This window comes from Homo sapiens, chromosome 12, assembly GCF_000001405.40.
Source record: "Homo sapiens chromosome 12, GRCh38.p14 Primary Assembly".
In the NCBI taxonomy this organism is placed as follows: Eukaryota; Metazoa; Chordata; class Mammalia; order Primates; family Hominidae; genus Homo; species Homo sapiens.
The window spans coordinates 14,492,441-14,519,735 of record NC_000012.12 but is presented as its reverse complement, the minus strand read 5'-3'; the positions used below and the strand labels follow the sequence as shown (position 1 = coordinate 14,519,735).

The 27,295-nt window shown below is 39.8% G+C and overlaps 2 protein-coding genes across 12 annotated transcripts in view, besides 1 other annotated feature; one reads left to right on the top strand and one right to left on the bottom strand.

The window, feature by feature from the left end:
- Positions 1–16,075, top strand: part of PLBD1 (phospholipase B domain containing 1) — a 64,223-nt gene extending 48,148 nt beyond the window's left edge. The window contains exons 7-11 of the mRNA NM_024829.6: positions 8,025–8,225; positions 8,336–8,476; positions 12,618–12,803; positions 13,468–13,574; positions 15,782–16,075. Coding sequence (NP_079105.4) covers positions 8,025–8,225; positions 8,336–8,476; positions 12,618–12,803; positions 13,468–13,574; positions 15,782–15,964 — 818 coding nt within the window. The 3' untranslated portion in view covers positions 15,965–16,075. The remainder of the gene's footprint in view (positions 1–8,024; positions 8,226–8,335; positions 8,477–12,617; positions 12,804–13,467; positions 13,575–15,781) is intronic.
- Positions 13,055–14,254: an enhancer, noted in NCBI's record as "MED14-independent group 3 enhancer chr12:14658416-14659615 (GRCh37/hg19 assembly coordinates)". NCBI's record gives its function as "activates an origin of replication core promoter dependent on BRD2, BRD4, P300/CBP and CDK7 cofactors, and independent of MED14, by STARR-seq in HCT116 cells {active_cell/tissue: HCT116}" and the evidence as "EXISTENCE:reporter gene assay evidence [ECO:0000049][PMID:35650434]".
- Positions 16,076–16,805: 730 nt separating the features above from the next.
- ATF7IP (activating transcription factor 7 interacting protein) overlaps positions 16,806–27,295 on the bottom strand; it is a 137,249-nt gene continuing 126,759 nt past the window's right edge. For all 11 annotated transcript variants that reach the window (NR_170893.1, NM_018179.5, NM_001286514.2 and 8 more), the window contains 2 exons: positions 23,393–23,505; positions 16,806–22,082 (listed from right to left, as the gene is read on the bottom strand). Coding sequence is in view for 10 of the 11 variants with exons in the window: in NM_018179.5 (NP_060649.3) it covers positions 21,663–22,082; positions 23,393–23,505 (533 nt within the window). In the remaining variant the exon portion in view is untranslated. The remainder of the gene's footprint in view (positions 22,083–23,392; positions 23,506–27,295) is intronic.

Here is a 27,295-nt window from a genome sequence, read left to right as displayed (position 1 = left end):
GGTTTGGTTTATCTCTTTGGCCTACAGATGGCCACCCTCTCACTGTGTCCTCACATGGCCTTTTCTCTGTGTGGGCTATACCTGGCATCACTTCCTCCTTTTTTTTTTTTTTTTTTTAAGATGATGTCTCACTCTGTCATCCAGGCTGGAGTGCAGTGGTGCGATCTCAGCTCACCACAACCTCTGCCTCCCAGGTTCATGTGATTCTCCTGCCTCAGCCTCCCAAGTAGCTGGGACTACAGGTGCATGCCACCACACCCGGCTAATTTTTTGTATTTTTAGTGGAGACAGGGTTTCGCCCTGTTAGCCAGGTGGTCTCGATCTCCTTACCTCATGATCCACCTGCCTCGGCCTCCCAAAGTGCTGGGATTACAGGCATGAGCCACCACGCCCGGCTCACTTCCTCTTCTTATAAGGACACCGGTCATGTTGAATTAGAGTTTGCCCATATGACCTCAGTTGACCTTAATTACCTTTTTAATGCTCTGTATCCAAATATAGTCATATTTTCAGGTACTAGGGGTTAAGACTTCAACATATGAATTTTGAGGAAACAGAATTCAGTCCATATCACGGGTTTAGGAATACACACAGGCAAGGAAGCCTCATACTCCATCTTAACCAATGCTGTACTAATGTTCTGTTTCTCTCTGCCTTTGGTCATTCCTAGTATCTTCAGATCATTGCTTTAAATAATTTTATACAGTTTTATAATTATTATTTGTGGGAAAATCACTCAATTTTATCATGCTGCTATTATTGGAATACTCACCCTTGATACGAGCATTTTTTTTTTGGCTGGGTAATACATAATACCCTAGTGCTTTTCATATTAACAAAGAGTAGCACAAGAGCTCCTTTTAGAAGGTTTTACTAACCTTCAGGCCAAGTAAGTTATCTCTCCTTTGAGCTTCCTAGGTACCCTGTGCATAATTTCTTCAAAGCCCATATTCTGTATTCATGTCTGTGTCCCAGGATGAGCACAGAGCCTTGCATATTATAATCATTGAATAAATATTTATGGAAGGAAGGAGAAAAGAAGGAAGGAAGAAAGAAGGATTAGAGGGAAAACAGTAAGGAGATAGATTATGTCCACTTTGATGTGGACATGGTAGGAACTGTAGGAAAGAAAGACGGGCAATAAAACAAGGAGGAGGTGGGGGCTGCCTAAGAGATCACAGTTCTTATTGTAACTTGCTTTCTATTCATCCTGCCCTCCCTTTCATACCCTAGATTTGAGAACAGGAGTCTAAGATGTTCAGGAATTGTAAGCAAGGGACTTCAGATGCAAAACCTATGTGTTCAGCACAGGACTTGTTACTTGAAGCAAATCCTTTGTGATAAATAACATGAATGGGACCTGACTAGTTTTATGGGAATTAGGCAGAATTTAAGTTTTAAATAAATTACTATAAGCTTGTTTGTGTTCAACTAGTTATTAAATAGAAAGGAAAACAAAAAACCTGAATATGTGTTTAGCCCCTACCATGTACCTGGCTCTGTCCCTGACACTGTGCACATTTTGTTTTTGTCTGTTTTGGGGGTTTTGTTTTCTGAGACAGAATCTCACTCTGTTACCCAGGATGGAGTGCAGTGGTGTGATCTCAGCTCACTGCAACCTCCGCCTCCCAGGTTCAAGTGATTCTCGTGCCTCAGCCTTCCAAGTAGCTGGGATTACAGGTGTGTGTGACCACGCCCGGCTAATTTTTGTATTTTTAGTAGAGACGCGGTTTCACCATGTTGGCCAGGCTGGTCTCGAACTCCTGGCCTCAAGTGATCCGCCTGCCTCAGCCTCCCAAAGTGCTGGAATTACAGGCGTGAGCCACTGTGCCAGGCCAACATTTTGTTTTTATTATGTCATTTAATGTTCATAAAAACCTAACAAGAAGGGTATTTTTAAAATCAGTTGTCTACCATTAACTTCTAGTATTGTATTTTCTTAACAAGCATACAAAACATCAAACTTCTCTTTAGACAAAGTGCAGTTCTTTGACATCCTTTACACAAAACAGTCTGAGCCTGTGGCATGTTAATGCAGTCGAGAGGCAAAGCATACTGACTTTTACAAATTCTGCCTTCCATAAAAAGCCTCAAGGAGGGTATTTTGTCTGCATTTTTAAAATAAACAGTTCAGAGAAGTTAAATAGTCAAACAGGTCAAGGTCACACAATTCAGTGGTTGAGGACTGGGTGCAAAGGCAATATATCTAACTATAAATATCCATTTCTTTTTTTTTTTAGAAATGATGCAGTTTGGATTTAAATTAAATGGCTAAAACTGAAAGAGCCGGCTGGGTGTGGTGGCTCACACCTGTAATCCCAGCACTTTAAGAGGCCAAGGCAGGAGGAGCGCTTGAGCCCAGAAGTTTGAGACCAGGCTGTGCAACATAGCAAGACCCCCGTCTCTACAAAAAATTAAAAAATTTAGCCAGGTGTGGTGGTGCATGCCTGTAGCCCCAGCTACTCAGGAGGCCTGGTGGGAGGATCCTTTGATCCTGGGGGTTTGAAGCTGCCTTGAGCCTTGATCACGCCACGGCACTCCAGCCTGGGCGACAGAGCATGGCCTGTCTCAAAACACAAACACAAACAAAAAACTAAAAGAGCAGTGAACTCAAAGGATTTCCTGCCATGCCAGGTGGGTGGAGCTTCTATGTGGGAATAAAAGATGGAACCTATTTAAAGGACTTTTTTTTTGTTTGAGATGGCGTCTCACTCTGTCGCCCATGCTGGAGTGGAATGGCGTGATCTCAGCTCACTGCAACCTCTGCCTCCCAGGTTCAAGCGATTCTTGTGTCTCAGCCTCCCAAGTAGCTGGGACCACAGGCGTATGCCACCATGCCCTGCTAATTTTTGTATTTTTAGTAGAGACAGGGTTTCTCCATGCTGGCCAGGCTAATCTCGAACTCCTGAACTCAGGTGATCCGCCCTCCTCTGCCTGCCAAAGTACTGGGATTACAGGCATAAGCCACCTTGCCTGGCCTCAAAGGACTTTTAATTGAGGATCCCAGTAATGATGATCCCCATAAGGCTGAGGCTTCAAGCTTAATGATCTATAAGTGAGGCTTTCTGGGATGCATTTAGTGTGTTTCCCCAAGCGTGTGTGTGTTCCTACTTCTCATTATATACAGGTATGCTATCACCTCCCCCATACATGTATACATACCTCTTAAACTTAGATGTTCCCCAATTTTTCCTATGGAGCTTGCTAAAAATGCAGTGTCATCCATAGAAATTCATATTTCATTGATCTGGGCTGGGACATTTGTAACAAGCACCCTAGACCATCCTAGCATACTGAATCCATAGTCCATCCTGTTTGTGAGACTATGGCAGCCCTTGTGGTCTAAGCAGCAAAATCTTTGCTTAGCCTTTTTTGTTGTTGTTGTTTGTTTGTTTTTGTTTTTGTTTGAGATGGAGTGTCGCTCTGTCACCGAGGCTAGAGTGCAATGGCGCGATCTCGGCTCACTGCAGCCTCCGCCTCCTGGGTTCAAGCGAATCCCCTACCTCAGCCTCCTGAGTAACTGGGATTACAGGCGCGCGCCACCGTGCCCAGCTAATTTTTGTATTTTTAGTAGAGACGGGGTTTCACCATGTTGGTCAGGCTGGTCTCAAACTCCTGACCTTGTGATCCACCTGCCTCAGCCTCCCAAAGTGCTGGGATTACAGGCGTGAGCCACCGTGCCCGGCCTTGTTTTTTTTTGAGATGGAGTCTCGCTCTGTTGCCCAGGCTGGAGTGCAGTGGCCAATTCAACCTCTGCCTCCTGGGTTCAGGCAATTCTTGTGCCTCAGCCTCCCAAGTAGCTGGGACTACACCACGCCCGGCTAATTTTTTTTTTTTTGTATTTTTAGTAGAGATGGGGTTTCACCATGTTGGTCAGGCTGGTCTCAAACTCCTGACCTCAAATGATTCACCACCCACCTCGGTCTCCCAAAGTGCTGGGATTACAGGCATGAGCCAGCTTGGCCTTTTTAAATATTAAGTGCATGTACTTGAAAGTAGGTACACATGAAGATAAAAGAATAGGCTCCAGGAAAATTTAAGTCAAGTCTTCATAATCTATAAAATTGCCTATTTAATAAATATATGTTGTAAACATTTTTAATGTTCTGTAATTACTGTTATTAATGTCATGTTACCTCTTTGATCTAGGTACTTTGGTCATAAAGCTGAAGTATATAAAAACAATCTATATTTAGTACAGACCAAAATTCATGTCCTTTGCTTTTAAAAGGTAGAACCAAGAAAAAAAAAGCAATAGCAGAATACGGGCACGTATTCTAAAGAATTATAAATGGATTTTGCAGCACTTAATTTCTGTTTTTTTTTTAAGTACCTTTCTTTGATTCTTTGTCTCCTCATTGGTACCATCCCAGAACACTGATGTCTTCTGCCAGATCAGACCTGTCTTGATCATCTTCCCCACCTAAATCAGGATGTGTCCTCCCTTCTACCTTTCCAGAAATCCCACCTTAGTTTTCATACTTTTCTTGATTAACTGGTCATAAGATGATTTCCCTCAACTCCACCCTGTCTCAACATGCAACTCCCCATGAGTCAATCTTCATAATTGTTTCTAATGTGTTTGTTCCATGGTGTGTGTTGAGTAACTGTTGTTGCCATTTGCATGACTACATAGTGGTTACTGTTTATTTCTGCAGTTTGGTGTTTTTTTTAAGTCTTGAAATAGGATTTATTAACCGGAAGTGTTTCTTTTTATTTCTTAATTAAATTCAGTGAGAAGCTTATCATGAAATGTTATTCTTAGGCTGGCATTCATAAAACACTGGAGTGTTTCATTTTCTCCTGATCTCAATCTGCCTTCCAAAGCTGCTAATGACAGATGAGAGCAAGATTATAATTTTAGTTAGGGTGTGGTGGCTCATACCTGTAATCCCAGCACTTTGGGAGGCCAAGGCTGGAGGATCCCTTGAACTCTAAAGCTCGACACCAGCCTGGGCAACACAGGGAGACCCTGTCTCAAAAAAAAAAAAAATTTAAAAAGATTATAATTGTATGTAGTCAAAGAAATGTGTTTCTTTTCAAAGGCAATGTGTCAGAACTTTGTCCCATCTCTGGGCCTTTTCTTTATTATCTTAAACTCTAAACTATAGAATTAGCCTCCTCAACTATAGTTTTTGCAGGCCAGTTCACTCTCCTTGCTCTAGAACTCTGGATAGCCTATATATTTCCATCATCCTGTCTCTTTCATAAAGAATCTTGCCTTTAAATGAAAGACTACTCCTTAAACATTAGTACTTGTAATATTCAATCACCTACACATATTAAAGAACGCCTGCCCTCTTGTGTCCAGGGAGACTGCTACAGCAAGTATTGAATTAGCAAACTTGTCATTCCGGAAATACAGCATTCTACCCTACAGGGATTATCTACCAGGGAGCTTTCTCAAGGCTGCCAAGTATGGTTGTACAGTTTGAAAAATGATCCCAGCCCAAGACACGAATGCAATCCATTTTACACTCTGTCAAGCCATATATCCTTGCCCAGGTCATGTCTTTCTAGAGAGGTGACCCATTAAAATTTCATTCAAGAGTACTGTTAAACCTTGTACCACTTGGAATGTGCAACTTTCTCTAATTTACACAAAGCTCTCTATAGCTTAATGGCAGCCGTGTAGAGGCTCATTAAGAGTTAGTTGGGGCCGGGCACGGTGGCTCACGCCTGTAATCCCAGCACTTTGGGAGGCCGAGGCGGGCAGATCATGAGGTCAGGAGATCGAGACCATCCTGGCTAACATGGCGAAACCCCGTCTCTACTAAAAATGCAAAAAATTAGCAGGGCGTGGTGGCGGGCGCCTGTAGTCCCAGCTACTTGGGAGGCTGAGGCAGGAGAATGGCGTGAACCCAGGAGGTGGAATTTGCAGTGTGCCAAGATCACGCCACTGCACTCCAGCCTGGGCGACAGAGCGAGACTCCGTCTCAAAAAAAAAAAAAAAAACTAAGAGTTAGTTGGACAGTCCTCTCATCGTGTAACTTTCCTACTCAAGAAATTTCAAGAAATTAAAATCAGATTGTTAGAGCTGAATAGCTGAATGACATTAGTCCCAGGTTATCAGAAGAAGGAAATAAGGAAGAGAGAGGCAAAATAAGAACTGTCAAATTCATTAGAGGCAAGCAGGAAACTAAAATGCAGGTCTTCTGACTCCCAGTCCATGCTCTTACCTCCGGTTTCAGGTGACCCGTTTCTTTGACCCCACCTTACTTATTCCATACTAGGCTAGAATAGATGTGTAATAGCATGCATAGGGCTGGTGGGGTGATTTGAGGCAGTATGTGGACAAACATTTTTTGCACATTAGTAGAAATGTATTTGTTTTAATGTATTTCTTTGGGAAAAAACAAAAACATTAAGTCCATAGTTTCTGAGACATTATGATATATGACAAGGGTAAGTTAAGTTTGAAAAGTGAGTTAATTTGAAGAAAGATATTAAGTAGTGCATATGTTAATAGCTTGATTTAGCCATTGACAATGTATACATATATCAGAATATCATTTTGTATGCCAAAATATATACAATGTTTCCTTGTCAGATATCAAAATATCCTTTCTTTTGTATAACATAAATATATATAATTTTTACTTGTCAGTTAAAAAATAACAAAAATATTAACTAAATGATAGTTCAGATAGTACTCAGATATGGCAAAAATGATAAAAGTGGTAAAAAATCATGGTAGAAATTTGAGACCATCTCAGTCCATTCTGACTACTATGACAAAACACCTCAGACTAGGTAATTTATAAGCTATAGAAATGTTATTGCTCACAGTTCTGGAGGCTGGGAAGCCCAAGATGAAGGGACTGGAAGACTCAGTGTCTAATGAGGGTCTGTTTCTCGTAGACAGTGCCTTCTCTCTGTGACCTCACATAGTGGAAGGGGCTAGCTAGCTCCCTCGGGACTGTTTTGTAAGGGCCTTAAAACCCTTCAGCAGGATGCACCGAAGGAACTTACCACTCTGGCCCCTTCTAACCCTACCACTGAGGTCCTTTTCTGTTTAACACTGACAGTTGTTCCATTACTGTTACTGATGACAGTATATCCTCTCTTTTTATTACAGCTGTGCCTGATATTCTATCCTTTCCATACTCATCCCAGTATAAACCACAAAATAGGTCTTCAGAAAAGACTGTGGCTTCACTGATTTTCCTGTGTTGCCTCCAACATTTATAAAAAAGCATTGACCAAGAGTGTCAATGCCCTAGTTTCAAAACCATCTTTACTTTTCTAAATGTAGATGTTTTTCCATTTATAAAAATTATGTAGACTTAGCCGGGTGTGGTGGCCCACACCTGTAATCCCAGCACTTTAGAGGCTAAGGTGGGTGAATCACTTGAGGTCAGGAGTTTGAGACCAGCCTGGCCAACACGGTGAAACCCGGTCTCTACTAAAAATACAAAAATTAGCCAGGTGTGGTGGTGCACACCTGTAACCCCAGCTACTCAGGAGGCTGAGGCACAAGAATTGCTTGAACCCAGGAGGCAAGGTTGCAGTGAGCTGAGATCATGCCACCACACTGCAGCCTGGGTGACAGAGTCAGACTGTGTGTCAAAAAAAAAAAAAAAGTAGACTTATACAAAATTTGAAAAATACAGGAAAGTAGAAAAGAAGAAAAAAAGGCATTTATATTCTTACTAATGAACCCTGCTAATCCCCTCCCTAATTAAAAATTCTCCTGCAAAATCCTAGCAAGTCGGGATCTACATCTGTTTATCATTCTGGAAGCTTGCAATGTTCTGGATTTAACATATTTTTGTTATTTCAAATCACAAAATAAATTTTCAATGGAGAATCCAGGGGTGGAGTTCTTTTGGCACCTCTATAAGGGGCAGTTGGGTGACTACCACAGAGGTGAGCCAAAGCTGGGGGAGGCTACTGCAGATCAAGGATAGTAATAACTGATACACTTTGCAAAATGCATTGTGTATGTAAAGCTCTTTGTCAATAATGATGGTTCACTGTTCCATGTATACATATGCTGATGTGTATATTTGTCTTTCCTGTAGGGTTTTTGGAGTCTCTGGATGATTTTTACATTCTTAGCAGTGGATTGATATTGCTGCAGACCACAAACAGTGTGTTTAATAAAACCCTGCTAAAGCAGGTAATACCCGAGACTCTCCTGTCCTGGCAAAGAGTCCGTGTGGCCAATATGATGGCAGATAGTGGCAAGAGGTGGGCAGACATCTTTTCAAAATACAACTCTGGTAAGTGACCCTGCAGAATAACTGTTAGGCACAGACATATATTTTGATTTAGGCTTGTTAACCAGTAAAGTCATACCCATGCCCCGTCTTCATGTTTCCTGATATTTCAGGCACCTATAACAATCAATACATGGTTCTGGACCTGAAGAAAGTAAAGCTGAACCACAGTCTTGACAAAGGCACTCTGTACATTGTGGAGCAAATTCCTACATATGTAGAATATTCTGAACAAACTGATGTTCTACGGAAAGGTACTTTCTTCATGTCGTAAGTCTTAAAACCTGATGAGTATGTGTGTGTTCATATATGGTAGGGGAATGCACATTGTGTGAATGTGTGGTGGGGGAGGGTATGGTGGGGAAGACAGGATGGGGATGCTATATTACACCAGAATGACCAGGTTTAGCACAACATGTAAACCTACATCTCAAACTCTTATAGGACAATGTGCAGATTGGGACGCAAATCAGGCATTCATGACTCTATGATTTCTCATAGTTCTAATGTTACCTTTTCTCCTGTGTTCCTGGTTAAAGCTTTAAGTTCAATTCAGCAAATATTTTTGGAGTGCCACTGTGGCCCAGGGACTAGAAAAGCAAGGATACAGAATCCCTGACCTGGAAGGACTCAGGAGTCTAGTAGGGAAGCAAAGCACTCAAAGCAGCTGCAGGAACTCAGGATGGGAAGAGCTGTCATCAGGTCTCATGTCCCTAGGCCAGTGGTGAACCTAAACAGAACGTGGCTGTTAGTGGGTGGAGTCAGAGAAGGCACTTCTGGTGGGCAAGAAGGAGTCCAGACATTTGAAGCCAGGAGGCTCACTGCCTTGATTCAAATCTCAGTTCCTTAAAATCTCAGGCAAATTAGTGAATCTCTCCAAGCCTCATTTTCCTCATCTATAAAACTGAATCGTGATATAGGTCCACAACCACGTATTTGTAATTTTAAAATTCCAAAATTGTAAAACCACAAATTATTATTTTGTTTCTCTTGTTTTGCTTTGATTTGGTAGCCTAGCTCACTTGGTAGCAAGAAAATGACCTGATCTGAACTCACTTGGCAGCAAAAACTACCAGAAAGAAACTTTTAGTGGTTTTTAATTTTAATTTTTATTTTTCTTCAGATGGAGTGTCGCTCTGTCACCCAGGCTGGAGTACGGTGGTGCGATCTCGGCTCCCTGCAACCTCTGCCTTTCGGGTTCAAGCGATTCTCCTGTCTCAGCCTCCTGAGTAGCTGGGACTACAGGCACGTGCCACCACACCTGGCTAATTTTTTGTGTGTTTTTAGTAGAGACGGGGTTTCACCAGTTGGCCAGGTTGAACTCCTGACCTCAGGTGATCTGTCTGCGTCGGCCTTCCAAATTGTGGTGCCCAGCCTGTTTTTTTAAATTGTCTTTATTTCCTCTTAGAGACACCATGTATACATTAGGCTACAGAAATATCAACATCTTTGATTATGAGGTGTTTCCCAAAGAGACTGTAATGTCATATAATCCATGCACTCCATGGTTGTTCTAAAGTCTGAAAAACCCTAAATTCTGAGACTCATCTGGCTCCCAAGAATTTCTGGATGTGGGAGTGTGGAACTCTACAATTTCACAGGATGGTCATGAAAATTAATTAAGATAAATAGATAGATTTATTGAGAGAAAATGTTAGCTTTAAAAATCCTACTGGACAGTTCAGACTTTATGTTTTAGAAATTGGGAGTTCCTGACAAGGGAGAATAGACTGGGTGGGAAGAAAAGAGACTAGTTAGGAGACTATTGCAATAGATCAACTGGCAGATGAATAGGGACAGAACGGAGATAAAGTGTGGACCCTAGGGATCAGGACCTGGTCCTCAGTTTTCCAGGTCCCCAAATTGACTTTGTAATGATGCCTAGAGTGAGCCTTGTCAGTGGAGAATGGGTCACACCAACTAAATGCACTAAGACTTATGCATAAAACAAAAGGTGGGAGTTTCATTGCCAAGCAGTTCATATGCTACCAAGCAGTGGACCTACCTTCTTCTTTGCTTGTTAGGAAAATCCATCCAAGAAGTCAAATCATTAGGTGGTTACTGTTTAGCATAGAGCAATTCAAAACAGAGAACCCAGCTCCTAAGAGCCTGAAAATAATAGCATGCCTCAAGAGAGAGAGATGCTTGCTAAAGTAGTCTTTTCTTCTTTGGACAGTTGCTGATAACAGAATGGTAGACTTGGTTCTCTGCAGTCCCATTCCTAGACCCCTTGAAACTCCCTAAGACTAAAAAGAGTTGATGATGATCTGTCTGTATTTTTTTTTCTTTGCCAGAGGAGAGAAGAACAGAGAGTTAAATTCAGAGTACCTACTGCATTCTAGACACTCTTCTGGGCCTTTTACTTATGTTCTCTTGTTTGATGTTTGTAACATACTACCCCATAAGTGTTATTGTTGCCATTTTACTGTGAGTAAAGAAAAGCTCAGAAAGAAACATGTTTTGCCCAAACAAATACATGATATCATATAGCCATTAAAAAGGCGGGGGCGTCGGGGTCGGGGGTGGGCACATCTCCTAACGTATTTAAGCAACTGTGGTATGGTGATAGAAGCCCTGGATGTTTTAGTTAGAAGGCCTGTATTCTGTCAAGTTTTGTGAGCCAAGGAAGACAATTGACCTCTCTGAAACTCTGTTTCTTCTGTTTAAAAAAGGGATGGTAATACTTATACATCATCAGGTTTTTGTGAGATTAAACAAGCTGCTCTATTTTCTTTATTTATTTTGAGACAGGGTCTCGCTTTGTCACCCAGGCTAGATTGCAGCTGCGTGATCTCGGCTCACTACAACCTTTGCCTCTCGGGTTCAAGCGGTTCTCGGGCCTCAGCCTCCCGAGTAGCTGGGACCACAGGTGTGCACCCCAATGCCTGGCTATTTTTTTATATTTTTAGTGGAGGCAGGGTCTTGCCATATTGCCCAGCCTGGTCTTGAACTTCAGAGCTCAAGCAATCCACCTGCCTCAGCCTCCCAAAGTGCTGGGATTACAGGCACAAGCCACTGCACCAGGCCAAGTTGCTCTGTTTTAAATCACGAAGCTTCATGAAATGTGAAGTATAAAGTAGACATTTTCGTTATTCATTTGAGCTGTTTTCACAAAGAGAAATATAATAATCTAATGTTTACCAAGTATTAGATACTATTGTAAGCACTCCATCTGAATGCATTTCATGCTCATGCTTATGAAGATGCTTAATGCTGAATAGTTAATGAAGATGAAGAAACTGAGGCACAAAGGGGATAAGCAATTTGTTCAAGGTCACATACCTAATAATGGCAGAACCAGGCTTCAAATCCAGGCAATCTAATTCCTGAGCCTATATAACCTAGATATGTTTTAGCAACAAATCTGTTTTTCTTCTTTAATTTCAATGTCATCCATATCTCAGTTCTTCTGATGCTGGCTCTGTCTCAGAATTAGCAAGGCTGAATGTCTTATCATTTTCTTTTTGTCTCAGTAACCTCACCCCTAAAGAGGAGGTCCTGTACAACAATACAAAGGAGAAAGGCAGAAAAGGGCCAGGAGAGAATGTGGAGGTGGGAGAGAACCCTGCATGGTGGAGACATTCCTTGACTGTTCTGTAGGCAGTAACCCAGGCCAGTGTCATCCAGGATGTTTCTGAAATTCTGCTTTTACAAGAGAGAGCTGTGTCACATATTTGGTGCTCAGTGACTAGTAGGCTATGTGGCCTTCACACACTATGAAGCTTTGAATGAAGCTGAGCCTTTATAAATGTTTAGAGTCAAAGGAATTAAAAGCCTAATGTAACCTAAAAGATCATCCCCAATCCCCTTACATTATGGACTTCTCCTCTCCCTCCCCATTGACGTCTTTCAAAAAAAAAGAAACAGAAACAAAACAAATGAAGTTGCCTGCCTAAGACCTGATTCTTAAGCCCTGAGCCTAGAATTCAGGCTTTCTATTCCCAGTGCTATGTTCTTCCACTACTTCATGATTACCATTTGACATCTTCCTTTATAGGGCCACACTGTGAACAACCATTTCTTGGCATTTCAGTAACTAAATCCACTTAGATGAGCTCCCCAGACCACCTTGCATTATACTTTATTTTGCTCTATAGAGAATATGGTTGTTTTTTGGCTTAGAGATTAAGAATTTTGGGTGAAAACCAGAGAATTCTGATGCTCTTCTTCCCCTAATGAAATAACCTAGAGCTGTGCTGATTTAGGAAATTTAAAAGGCTGTTTGGCTGCCAGGGTTCACATGCAAAGCTTTATTTTCTGTACATTATTTTGTAATTAAATGCCTGTGCCCATTTTCAAAATAAATGAACATGGATAACATTTCTTTTGCTCTCTCTCCTTTTCTGTCTCCTTCCCTGTCAATCCCTCCCTTACTTCCCTTCCATTCCAAATCAGGATATTGGCCCTCCTACAATGTTCCTTTCCATGAAAAAATCTACAACTGGAGTGGCTATCCACTGTTAGTTCAGAAGCTGGGCTTGGACTACTCTTATGATTTAGCTCCACGAGCCAAAATTTTCCGGCGTGACCAAGGGAAAGTGACTGATACGGCATCCATGAAATATATCATGCGATACAACAGTACGTAGCATATTTCTCAAGAATCATTCTTCAAAACTCCTTTTCTTCCCTATGGATACAGAATCCATGTAAGTTTATCATCTCTGTACTAGAAGGAATTATAAGAAGTTATTTAAGTATTTAACTAATATTGTACATTTTATACTCAATAAATAGAGCTTTGGCCTCCTTTATAAAATGAAAGAGAAGAGTCTATACATTTTTTAATTGAAAAAAAAAAAATCATCTGTAAAACACAGAAGAAATAACTCATAGAGGGTCCTTTAAAATTTTTCTCCAAACACAAGTTTCCTTCCAAGGATAACAGCAGCTAATAAAACAAAACATTGTTCATAAATACCTCATTTTTTTTGTATGAACAGCATCAAAGTCAAATTTGTATTTATTTTGTTGGAAACAGCTGATGGACGTTTATCTGGTTCTCTTTCCCATCCATTTTTCACTGTGTAAGGTTCTTGAGGGCAGGCTGGGCCTGGGGCCAAGGACTTACTCCTTCCTCACAAGCCAAGGGAGATGTCTCTATCTGGAAGCAGACTGGGCTGAGGAGGCCTGTGGGAGTACACTCTCTGATTATCTAGGCTTTAACAGGCCTCAAAACCTTACTGTGGAGAAGTGTGTCTCCAAATAGCCAATAATCACTCTCTTCCCCATTTCTGTTTCCTAGATTATAAGAAGGATCCTTACAGTAGAGGTGACCCCTGTAATACCATCTGCTGCCGTGAGGACCTGAACTCACCTAACCCAAGTCCTGGAGGTTGTTATGACACAAAGGTAACATGCTATTGGCTTTTGAATTTAATTCCCACCAGCACACAGGCCTCTCCAAAGGCAAAGTTGCACAGGTTTTTATGGCAGGAAGCGATGTCGCTAACCATAAACTCAACCCAGGAATCAGCTTTTTCAGAGATTCTGGTGGTAGGTCCTATTATCTAACTTCAAGTCCCTGCTCTGCCATTTAGTAGTAAATCACATAATTCCGTCATGTTTCTGTTTCCTCATCTGTAAAATGGATATAACAGTACTTACCTCATATGTTGTTCTGAAGAATAAGGCTTTAATCTCTGTAAAATGTTTACAACAGCACTTAGTGAGTTATTTGTAAATGTATACAACCATAATGATGTTATTGTTGTCTTATGTTTTACCAGACTGGCCCAAAGTCCAAAGAACATATTATTCAAGCAGTGCGATTCCATGTTAAACATGAGTCAAATTTAGCTGAAGGAGCAAGTTTGGACAAGATGCCTAAAGCACAGCAGTTTTTCACAATGTTAGAATTGATAAGTGCTGTAATGTATCTGAAAATATAAGTAATAAGTAGGTTTGCAGTGGTGTGCTAAAGCCAGCTTATAGACATGCAGGAACCAATTGTTAGTTGACGTGTTGATGGCTTCAAACCAGTCAGTGAAAGTATTTACATTATGGAAATCAGGAACTTTTTTCCTCACAAAGAAAGATTGTTGTTAAAAATTTACCTGCTCACCACTGGATTTGGGACGTCTGAGGGTATGAGGCATTTGGTTGGTGGAATCATGCTACTACATCCTTTTGCACTCTTGGCTTGGGTGTGTGTCTTTTCATTTCATCAGCTGTCCTAAATTCTGGAAGAAACCTGTCAGGGTAAAGTGTGTATTCTGTCTTTGGCTCAAAAAATTATAGGAATGCTGACCCCAGTTGCACATGATTCTCTATCAGCCTAATACCTAAACAGGAAATGCTTTAAAGTATCCTAAGTTCCAGCTCAACCTTCTTTTTAGCTATGTGATGAAGGCAAAGCTTTAGCCGTAATGACTCTCAATGTTAACATTAAAAAAAAAAAAAAAAAAGGTAGACGTAGAGAAGCTGGCACAGATGAAACCCCAATGAATGTTTTTGTATTCCTTTTTTAAAATGGCATTTGCAAACATTCAGTCAATGTGTGAAGTTTGTATCTATCACAGAATACACAAAGAAAATCACCTCTGCTGCCTTGCCTGGGAGAACTCAAGCCAAGCTTCCCTCTACCAAATCTCACTTCTGGAGACAGAGGCCTGCAATTGTTCTTATCAGAAAGTTTCTGTTGAAGGATATTCTTTAAAAATGTAATTTATCTCTTTAGAGTCATTTTGAATATGGGGAAAAGAAGAAGAGATTCTCTTTCCCCTCTAAGATTAAGACCCACTGCTAGCCAGTTGTTAGGTGTTTTTGAGAACCACGGCCCTCAATTTTTGACAGTGAGCTCTATCTACTTTCAGACTCTTGTTACCACCCTGATTAATAACAACTTTTTCTAAGAACTTCATCTATTCTAGGCATTACTTTGAGCATTGCTTGCATTAATCCTCATGCCAACTCTATGAAGTAGGGTTATCAGCCCATTTTACAAAGGAGAACACTGATTCATAGAGGGGTTAAGTGATTTTTAAATAAGCTTTGGAGCTAGAATTCTGAATATGAGTAATCTGACTTCATATCTCACTTTTGGCTACATTGTTCATTTCACACACTTCTAGTCAACTGACATTTAAGCCAAATGTATACAGAAGACTGTATCATATAAAGACAATGTGAAAAATGGCAAGAAAATTTTGTTTTAAAGAAGGCGGCCTGGCGCGGTGGCTCATGCCTGTAATCCCAGCACTTTGGGAGGCTGAGGCGGGCGGATCACCTGAGATCAGGAGTTCGAGACCAGTTTGGCCAACAAGGCAAAACCCCATCTCTACTAAAAATATAAAAATTACCTGGGTGTGGTGGCCCATCCACGTAATCCTAGCTACTTGGGAGGCTGAGGCAGGAGAATTGCTTGAACCTGGGAGGCAGAGGTTGCAATGAGCTGAGATTGTGCCACTGTACTCCAGTCTGGGCAACAAGAGCGAAACTCCGACTCAAAAAAAAAGCTAATATTGTGACTTTGGTAGTGGGAGAGTGGGGAAGGCCATGGATTTAATTTTTTGCTGAACGATGATTTTCTAAAATGTCCTCCTCCTCCCTCTTTCCAGGTGGCAGATATCTACCTAGCATCTCAGTACACATCCTATGCCATAAGTGGTCCCACAGTACAAGGTGGCCTCCCTGTTTTTCGCTGGGACCGTTTCAACAAAACTCTACATCAGGGCATGCCAGAGGTCTACAACTTTGATTTTATTACCATGAAACCAATTTTGAAACTTGATATAAAATGAAGGAGGGAGATGACGGACTAGAAGACTGTAAATAAGATACCAAAGGCACTATTTTAGCTATGTTTTTCCCATCAGAATTATGCAATAAAATATATTAATTTGTCACTTTCATTTCCCACTGACTTTGTTGTTTTTACAGTAAGCACTCACTATAAGGTAGAGCACTGTAGAAGAAATGTTACATATATATATAAATAACACTAAGCTTCGGCATACATGCTAATACACAAGAGGGTATGGAAGAAACAGCTCCTTCATTCACCAGAATTCATGTTCTCCTTTCACGCCTGCTCACACAGACCACATCTCCCAGTGTCCCTCAGATAGTTGTGCCACATGACAATTCTAGCCATTGGAACCTGAGACGAGTGCCACTTCCAGGCCTCGCCCATAAGAATCTGTACTCCTCCTATGCTCTTTCCCCTTTCCCTGGATGAATATGCCTAATGACAAAACCCTAGGGGATGCTGGAGCTTCGTTTTCAAAGGAACCTCTAGTAGTAGTTGGTGATTGTAGTTAGTGATTTTTCTGGTCATTAACAGGCATAAGTTGAGTCTTTTTGTGATGTAGGTTAGGCATACAATACAGTAAAGCTTACTGTTGCCTCCTATAAGCTAAAAGCACCTATACAATCTGGCAGCAACCCTGCATAGCAACTTTCTTTCGAAACTGGAGAGTTACATGTGATCTGAGTGCCATGGAATTGCCAAGTAGATTAAATAAGCCATACCATACAGTATGTAATGGGTGATTCTAAACAAGGTGGAAGATTCTTAAAAAAGAAAGAAAGAAAAAAAGCCACAAGGGTGAATAACCAGAATTAATCAGAGTACTCAGAATGTTAAAAACCCAGTAGTTTTATTTCAAAGTATAAATTTCAGGCTTGCTGGACAAAACCCCACTACAGGTAACACTTATACAGACACCACTCTACTATACATTTAAAAAAGAAAAACACACACACGCACGCACACACACACACAAACCTTCAAAACCCTAATAAAAATAGGGCCACTTGCTGGAGCCCAGTTTGTATTAGACATTAGGAAGGTCTTACTTACATTGTCTTATTATTTACACTTTCAATTGCAATAAAGAAAAATTAGGATGCAAGTTTCTTACAAAGGATTTTTATATTTAATTTTAAAATGGCTGATAAAATACTAAAGCCAGAATCCCCAAAAGGTGTTTGATTGCCCAGTTACCTTATTTACAAAACAAAACAAAACAAAAACAGACAAAAACAAAGACCTCAAAAAAATAATAAAGACGGCATTTAAATATGGGTACTTAGCTGACTCTACAAATAAAAAACAAAGAAAAGTTTATTTTAACATGGTAAATTATTTGAAAATGAGAAAACAAAACATGTGTTTGCATTATCCTATTCCTCCCCATTGGCTGGCTCAAGGGGATGAATGAGTTTCAGGAATTAGACAAGTCTGCCACACTAACAAACGCTTCATGAGAATTGCTGATTTTTGTGTGTCCCAAAAGTTAAAAATAATAATAATTAAAAAAATAGGGCATTTGCCCAGTAAAAATAGTAAGGAAGGTAGAATCACACATCGGTTTTAGAGTTATTTGATATTGCAAATACTGGGACTTGACTTTTCTGGAAATTAGAATAAAACAGGCCAACCACAGGTCAGTGATAAAACAACAAAATCTTAGGATGTTGAGGATACTGAATTGGCCCAAGAAATAAAGTCAAGGAGAACATTTGGAAGGAAGGTCTTTGCAGTACCTTACTGTGCTAAAATCACAGAGTAAAAAAGTGAGAGATGAGGATACCACAGGCATTACTTTGTTGACCTTGTACAGTACTGGAAAGTTCATGAAACAAGATAAATGAATACCATGCAGTATTAACCCTAACCATGTTGCATAAATGGTAATTTGGAGAATATTTAAAGCAAAAGAGCAAACAACAAAAACTAAGTTAACACTTACCCAGTGCAGTAAGGGAATTGTAAGATACAGCCTGCTTAAGGAGGTCTGCAGACAGATGCACCTAAGATTTCAGCTGTTTTAGGTCACTTTTCTCAAAATATTTATTATCTGGCAATGGGGATGGGAGTGGGGAACACCTCTCTGTGAGGCAAATGGTATCTCAACAAATACCGACTTTTCAAGGAAGAAAGCTCTCCACTTCTCTCATAAACTTATATACTACCTTAAACAGTATGCAGTATTCGGCATATTTTTTAAAAATGAGTCCAGAGAAATAGAAGGATATAGTTACCTCATAAAGTTAACTGTTAGCAACAGACGTCTTCGTATGTGATTTATAAATTTCTTGGCAAGAACAAGATTTTTAGAAGAGGCTTACTCACACTTAAGACAGAGTGAAAATTACTCTCACAGAATGCAAAGTATAGAATAATAAACATCACCATTACCTTTAAATGCCATACAAACATCCTACATTGCAGGTTGCAGTATCAGGTTTCCAGAATTTCCAATAAGGCAATACCTACACAAATATTGCCAGGCTAAAAATGTAGCAAACTTGCATTCCCAAACTGGGAGAATCTAGCTTATTTGTAATACTTTGTGAAAAGATACTATGAAACTAAAAAGGTAACCGTGGAGTGGAAACTGCTACTAGAAAGTCTGTTATCAGTAGCTACTTCTACTTAAGTCCTCCATTCTCTCCCAGAAGAAACAAACCAAACAAAAAGCATCTATCAATATTAAAACCTGCCTCAATAAAAGCCTAGTGTTCTAACTTAGCACCTCTAGTAAATCTAATATAGCTGCTGCCCCTACGTGCCATGGTAGGCTAATTTGAGGACACCATCTTATAATAAATATACTTCTCCCCTAAATAATTGCGATTTCTCCCTGTACCTTCCTTCCAACTGGAATAAAACATTTTAAGTAGTTATTTTACTTTAGTAAATATTTTTAGAATTCCTATTTGAGAATTTGTTTTCCTTTGACAGAAAACATAATATAGGCTAGGCTAATGAATTTTTTTTTTATTCTACTGGGCTTTCTTCATCTGATTATATAATGCTATGAAAGCTTTTTTTAAAAAAGATTAGTAAATATAAATAAAAATGTTCATCAAGAGAACCTTTTGTAGGTTAGGTAAGAAAATTGTTACCACGTGACCATAAAAACACCCAATAAAGAACAATTTGAACATGGGCCTTCAGTTTTGTAGACAGGAATAATCTTGAACACATATCAACATTGCAACCACTGCAGGTCAAAACATATACATGCAGATATAGACAGGTGTTCATATACATCTAGAAGATCATCAACTCCTCCTTTCTGAAATTTTCATTGCCATAACACTGGCAACTTCTTTACCATCATCATTAGTCCTAGAATGAGTAATATCTACATAATTGGTTGGCAAATTTGATTTATAGCATACTCCTTTGTGGTCTCATTTTCTGAGAGTGAAAGGTGGTTTGGAGAATTAATTTTTTGGCAATCTATAGGCTTTCTTCATCATGAATCAAATCTCACACCTCAGTATACTGACCAGTCAAAAGTCTCTAAAGAGTTTTCTTTACAACTAGAATACTTCCTATTATAAGCCATCAAAGTTGCAAACAAAACAACATTAGTAAAAGAGCTCCCTCCTGTAATTCTAGGAAAAATGAATCACTATTTTGAGAAGGTACAAATATGAATTCAAATATTGTAAAGGAAGAGGACTTCGAAGTTATTTCACAAACTCCATAAATTCCTTTCAAAATATTCTCAACCACATTCTCCTCCTAAAACTTAACTCAGCCCTCCAGTCCTAAATTATCTACACCCAAAACACCTACCTGACACCAGTACAGCTGGCCCTCATATTAAAAATCCATGACCTAAGCTGAATTTTAATAACTTTGAAGAGGAACAGAGAGATACACAGGAGGTTATATCTAATTGTTACATAAAATGACCTCAAAGGATATACTTTAAATTCTTTTTTTTTTGAGGCAGAGTTTCGCTCTTGTCTCCCAGGATGGAGTGCAATGGCGCAATCTCAGCTCACTGCAACCTCCGCCTCCCGGGTTCAAGCGATTCTCCAGCCTTGCCTCCTGAGTAGCTGGGATTACAGGCATGCACCAACATGCCCAGCTAATTCTGGGATATACTTTAAATTCTATCCAAAGCTAACAATGGGTACATCAGACTCAACTTGGCACCATCAAAACAAAGTTAAAAGGTTAAAATGGGAAGGACGATAAAGAGAATAAAGAGGAAATGAAGCTTTCCCCTTGATATTTTAGCTCATTCTATATTGTAATCTTACTATTTGCTTCCTTTGAAAGAATACTAAGGAGTTAGTGTTGGGTGATAGCTTTGGGTGATAAACTGAACTAGAATGGTTTTCATAATCTCTAACACAGTGTGCAACACGGATACTAAAATGTGTGAAAAACTGTCTTCCACAATATGGTTTTCTCTTGGTCCACTTTACACAAAGTTAAATAGTGACCAAAAATAAAAGCATCTATAGTTTTAGAAGAAAATAGCACGTCAAATTTTTGGAGTTAAATGTGATTGTCGCCACCATGCCCGGCTAAGATGAGACTATGCATGCACCTGTGTGTGTGTGTACATACACATCCATGTACATACACACACCTTGGTTTAAAAATCACTTGAGTAGGCTGGATACAGTGGCTCACAACTGTAATCGCAGCACTCTGGGAGGCCGAGGCGGGTGGATCACCTGAGGTCAGGAGTTCAAGACCAGCCTGGCCAACATGGTGAAACCCCATCTCTACTAAAAATACAAAAATTAGCCGGGCATGGTGACAGGTGCCTGTAATCCCAGCTACTCTGGGGCTGAGACAGAAGAATTGCTTGAACCCAGGAGGCAGAGGTTGCAGTGAGCCAAGATTGTGCCACCGCACTCTAGCCTGGGCAACAAGAGCAAAACTCCATCTTAAAAAAAAAAAATTACTTGAGGAGTTGTGCTATATTTGGTAGAGATGAAGGAGAAATCAAGGGTAAAAGGCTGCAAGGGAAGACTAAGCAACAACGGACATATGGCCATATTTATTTATTTATTTTTGGCCATGTTTATCTTTGTAGTTAATCTTTAAGGCACAAAATAAATGTAAAAGCCAGATTAGGAAAGGGAGGGGGCCATTGCAGATCTTTTTTCACCTAATTAACAACTCAGGAGACCAGACAAAAGAAACAACAAATAGATCCTTTCCTGTGTTCGAATTAACCTATTTTAAACTATTTAGCCATTTTGTTTTTTATTTATTTCTTTGGGTTTTGTTTTGATTCTGTTTGACCCACTTAACTAAAATGATACTATAGATCCTTCAAAAGCAGAATCATGCCAGTTACACATCTCAAATCCTTTGATCTACTTACTTCGTACTTTAAGAGGTAAATTTGAGAATGAAAATGGGAGACTCCAATGCAATAACACCTACATAAGGAAAAACACACATAAACACCCACACATATTCCCCAGCCTCAAAACTAAAGCAAGGTACACATTTACATTTCCAAACCCCAAAGCCTAAACTGTCCAGGAAAAGATTCTAGCTTTGTGGGCTGAGTTTATTTTGCTTCTGGTTATAAACAAATGTAGTGTATACACACATCTGTCCAAGAAATCTTGCACAAGGTGGATTTTACATGGGGTATCATGCACAAGATTAAAAACAAGACCAAAAGGTGGAAATTTTAAAAGAGGAAAATATAAAGGCTCCAAGGTTTAACTGCTCTGGGTAGAAGAGATCACATCTGTTGACTGAGGATCACAGAAAGGCCCAAAACGTCCATAAATATCCTTGGCTCGTACTGCAAAGTAGTATTTGCTACCAGATACAAACTGGGTGAGAGTACATGCCATGGGCAAGGGAAGTGCCTTGACTTCCCCAATCTTTTTCCATTGTGAGGGCACAGTGGCACTGGGTTCCTCATGGTAAGCATAGAGATGGTAGCTATCAACAGTGGCACAGCTTCGATCCACCTCCAGGACACTCCATGACAGTACTATGCCATTTTGACTCTGAACGCGTGCTAACTTCAAGTGTGGCTTCTGAGGCAGAGATGTGCTGGCAGCTTCTGGGGGCAGACGCTGTGGTTGTGGAGCTTCTGGTAAGGGTGCTGGGTGCACGGGGCGTGGGGGCTCCTGAAGAAACAGGTCACACTGATTAATGATGATTGCAAAAAGAACTATTTTAGAATGTTAGAATTAAAACACCTTAGAGAACATACGTAGAAGTATCATTTTATATCAAGAATTCTAGGAAATACCAAATACCATATCAAATTTGGCAAGTTCTATTTGGGGTTTTGTAATGAATCATGCTACAAACAATGATGCTGAGGTTATTCCTACTATACTTCCTAGACCTAAAATATTTTGAGTTTTTCTTAGGAAATAAAAAGCCCCTGCTGACGGAACATCATTTTGAGGAACACGGAAGTAATGATCTATTTCTAACAAAATAATTTATGATTGAATTATCTATGTTACAGATTATCATTTCAGTATGATGTAACATTTTTAAATATCATGTATGGCAACCAAGATCATATAAAATTGGAGAATACAAATATACTTTCATTTTTAAGTTATTTATAAATAAGCACATTAACACTAAATGTGTACTATATTCTTGGCCAATTTACAAGAAAAAGGTGATATTTAAACTCAACTGTGAAGGAGGATCCAGAGATGCAGAAATAATCATGTACCTTTCAGCCAAAAATAAAGCATGAGCAAAGGCATGTGGACAGTAAAGTGAGGGGACGTATGGACAAGAACAAGTATTAACTTTTTCTTGGACATAGGGTACATGAAGAAAAATCTGGAAAGGTAGGTTAAGGCCAGATGATGAAAAAACATGACTCTAACTTTAGGAAGTCCTATTGACTTTTCTAACACTGGAACATCATCATCATTATAATGATATTTCATACCAGTCAAACACTGACAAAATTGTGTCACAGGATAATGTGACATTGTTTTGGAGGCTAAATCTAAGGAGAAATCTTTGGTTATCTCTGTTACCTCTTAACTAATGAATTCCCAATATCATTGGATTCTTTAGAACAATTAATTGATGACAATGTAGCAGTTAGATGTGGCATAGTTTAGAACGAAAGAATAAAATTAACACATGGAGAAATGAAAAATGTCCTTTTTAATTTAACTATGAATTAGAAATGGTCTATATTTCACTTCATATACCCCAACTGTGGACCTGTTTTTGTACACTGTACACCACAAGCAAACTCAATGATTCTAAATGATCATCATCCCTAGGAACTATGTGTTCATAATGGTAAGATCAATTTTTAGAAATAAACTTCTGAAAAAGCAGGAAGACCTAACACTTCCCTTGGATATAACCATTTTAAAGAAAAATGCCAAATACAATAATATTTTATACCTCTACAGTTGAGAATTTTGCAAAACCAAGCATCAACACTTACAGTATGCACTTGTGGTGGTCGGTGATGCACTGTGAGCTGAGGTCCTGTTGATCCCAGGGTTAGTCCATTGTTTACAACATATGTGGTTGTTTGAGGCACTCGAACTGTAACACCTACAAACAAACAAAAAAATTACAGGATAAAATGATAATTCTATTGTAAATTTGGTGGAAAACTGATTAAATATTTGAAGGCAGTGAAGCAATGTTTTCAAGATTCGAAAGGAAAGATATTTCTAACCTAGAGGTCCTGTTCGTATTCAGCCAAGCTATCAATCAGCCTGTGGATAAAAAAACTTTCTTACATGCAAGCACTAAAAAAAAATTCTAACTACCACAAACCCTTTCTCAAATAGTCAATGGAGAATATGTGCCACCAGTACGTGAGAAAATAAAGAGAAAAACACGAGACACAAGCAACAGGAGGTCCAGCACAGGGAGAAATAAATGGATCGTTACCAGGAGAACTATGAACAAAAATCCTAGAACACTGGTTGTGTACCACATGTAAAAGGTAAATGGCCATAATGGAGCAGTGTGACTCAAAAGACAGACAAACTGGGAGTATCTTCATAAAAATCTCTGCAGTCTCATCTTTTCAACCAGGACAGAAAGCCAGAATAAGTCATCCTTGCCATGTATTAATGAGGTTCCTCTCATTTTCTCCATGCCCAGCTCCTTGGTTGAGGATACTCACTTCACCCCACAGAAAACTGCTGTGACATACACCAGGGAAACAAAAAGAGAAAATTTAGAGCCACCTACTGCCCTAACTATATTCCTGCCATTTATTCAGTACCTGGCCCATGCTGTAGTTCGGCCTGGTTCCTGGACTATAGTGAGCCAAGTTTCCCAGAACTCATTTCTAACCTTGTTGATTAATTTTCCCAGACAACGCTCTTGTAAACTTGAGAGAGTTGAAGCCAAGCTATGATCCAGGGACTCCAATCAGTTTATTTTCTAAATGATAGCATTACTGTGTTTCTTTAAATAGCTATATTTTCCCTTGCTGTCACATTTTGCAAAACTACAACATATGTGTGATGGTTAATACTGAGTGTCAACTTGATTAGATTGAAGGACACAAAGTATTAACCCTGGGTGGGCCTGTGAGGATGTTGCCAAAAGAGATTAACATTTGAGTCAGTGGACTGGGGAAGGCAGATCCACCCTTCATCTGGTGGGCACAATCTAATCAGCTGCCAGAAAATATAAAGCAGGCAGAAAAACGTGAAAAGGAGAGACAGGCTTAGCCTTAGCCTCCCAGCCTACATCTTTTTCCTGTGCTGGATGCTTCCTGCCCTGGAACATTGGCCTCCAAGTTCTTCAGTTTTGGGACTCAGACTGGCTTCCTTGCTCCTCAGCTTGCAGACAGCCTACTGTGGGATCTTTTTTTTTTTTTTTTTTTTTTTGAGACAGAGTCTGGCTCTGTTGCCCAGGCTGGAGTGCAGTGGCATGATCTCGGCTCACTGCAACCTCCGCCTCCTGGGCTCAAGAGATTCTCCTGCCTCAGCCTCCCAAGTAGGTGAGATTACAGGCTTGTGCCACCACACCCAGCCAATTTTTGTATTTTTGGTAGGGATGAGGTTTCACGATGTTGGCCAGGCTCATCTCGAACTCCTGACCTCAAGTGATCTGCCTGCCTTGGCCTCCCATACTGCTGGGATTACAGGCGTGAGCTACCATGCCCAGTCTATTGTGGGAACTTCTGATTATGTAAATTAATACTTAATAAACTCCCCTTTATATATATAAACATTCACTATATATAAAGTATTTTACATATATTTAATATTTATATATAATTAAGATATACTGTATATATATAGTAGGATATAAAGTATATATACAATTAGTTTATATGTAGTATATATTTTATGTATATACCCTATTAGTTTAATACATATATAATATATAAAATATATATATCCTATTAGTTTATATATAGTATATATTATATGAATACTATATATAGGAAACATATGTGTATATATACATATACACACACACATATATATATATATATATATATATATATATATATATATATATATATATATTCTATTAGCTCTGTCCCCCTAGAGAACCCTAATTCAGATTTTGGTACCAGGAATGGGGTCCAGAGGAACAGAATATTAAGGATGGAGTTCTTTCATTGGTTTTGGGGTTTCTGGAGTTGGCTGCTTAATGTGATTAGACCCAAAAATGTTAAAAACTCTAATTCTAATAGTATAGAGAACACTGATAGTCCCTGGTGTGAACTGTTTAGAGGGTTATGCAAAATAAATGCATTTGACACTCCTGATTCACTGCTTGTGGGAAGCAAGGAGTTTAGTGACTCTATACATAATACCTTGGACCATATGTGGAGAACCAAGGAACATAATGAAGCTGGTCAGTTGCTCCTAAGTGCAGTGGAAAAAGTGATGAAAGAAAATGATGAACTCAAGGATTCTGTCTCTCAGCCTCAGAAGAAGATACTGAGGCTCAAAACTGCTAAGATTGCCCTGAATGAGAGTCTTATCTCCTGTAGAGAGAGCGCTGAAGTTGTGGAAAAACAGACACAAGCTCTTATCATGCGAGTGTCTGACCTGCAATGAAAGATACATGCACAGCCTTGCCAGGTGTCTACTGTTAAAGGGAGGGCACTGACTGGAAAAGAATGGGACCCTGAAACTTGGAATGGGGGTGTGTAGAAGCACCCTGATGAAGCTGGGGACACTGAGTTTGTAAATTCTGATGAAGCTTTTTTGCCAGAAAGAACAGCTTCCCCATCCCCAGTAGTGGCAACATCCACTCCCTGACCCATGCTGCCATCAGCCTTTCCAACTTTGTCTGAAGAAATAAAGCCTGTGATATGTGAGGCAAGAGTGATGGCTTCCCCTGAGGCAGTTGCCATGCAAGACAATGTTGATTCTTCTCAGGAGCCACTCCAAACACCTCTCTTTGCTTCTAGATGTATAACTACACTAAAGTACTGGTGGGCCCCTAGAGGTGAGGTTGAAGGTGTGACCTATAAGGAGGTATGCTACACTCAGAGAACTGTTTTGAGTTCTTTAATTCAAATATACAGAAATCTGAAGAACAGGCATGGGGATGGATATTAAGGGTATGAGATTATGGTGGAAGGAACAAAGTTGGATCAGGCTGAATTTCTTGATTTGGGCCCACTAAGTAGGGACTCTGCATTTAATGTTGCAGCTCAGGGAGTTAAAAAAGGTTCTAGTAGGTTATTTGCTTGGTTAGTTGAAATAAGGATTAAAAGATGGCACACTGTGAGAGAGCTGGAAATGATTTATCTCCCTTGGTTAATGTAGAGGAAGGGATCCAAAGACTAAGGAGATTGGGATGGTAGAGTGAATCAGTCACTTTAGAGCTAGTCATCCCAGCTGCGAGGGTCCAGAAGATATACCCTTGACCAATGCCTTGCGAAACAGATTTGTGAGGGCAGCACCTGAATCTCTGAAGAGCCCTCTAATTGCTCGACTCTATATGTCAGATCTAACAGCGGGAACTGCAGTCACTCAACTACAAAATTTAAATACAATGGAAATAACTGGATCCTAAGTTGGCAGGGGCCAAGTGGTGGCACTCAACTGTCAAAGGCAATGTGGGCATAGCTACCATAATGGACAGCAGAGGCAAAGTGGCAATCAGAAGAGTCTGACTTGTATAGATCTCTGGCATTGGCTAATTAATCACAATATTCCTAAAGATGAAACTGATAGGAAGCCTACTGCATTCCTACTTATACAACCAGAAAGCTTCTAGGTCAAATGGACAAAAGACTAAATTGAATAATAAAAACAGAATGATGACCCCTCAATCAATTTCCAGACTTGAGCCAGTTTACAGACCAAGAACCCCTTGAATGAAGGGGAGGCCTCGTCCCCTTGAGGAAAGA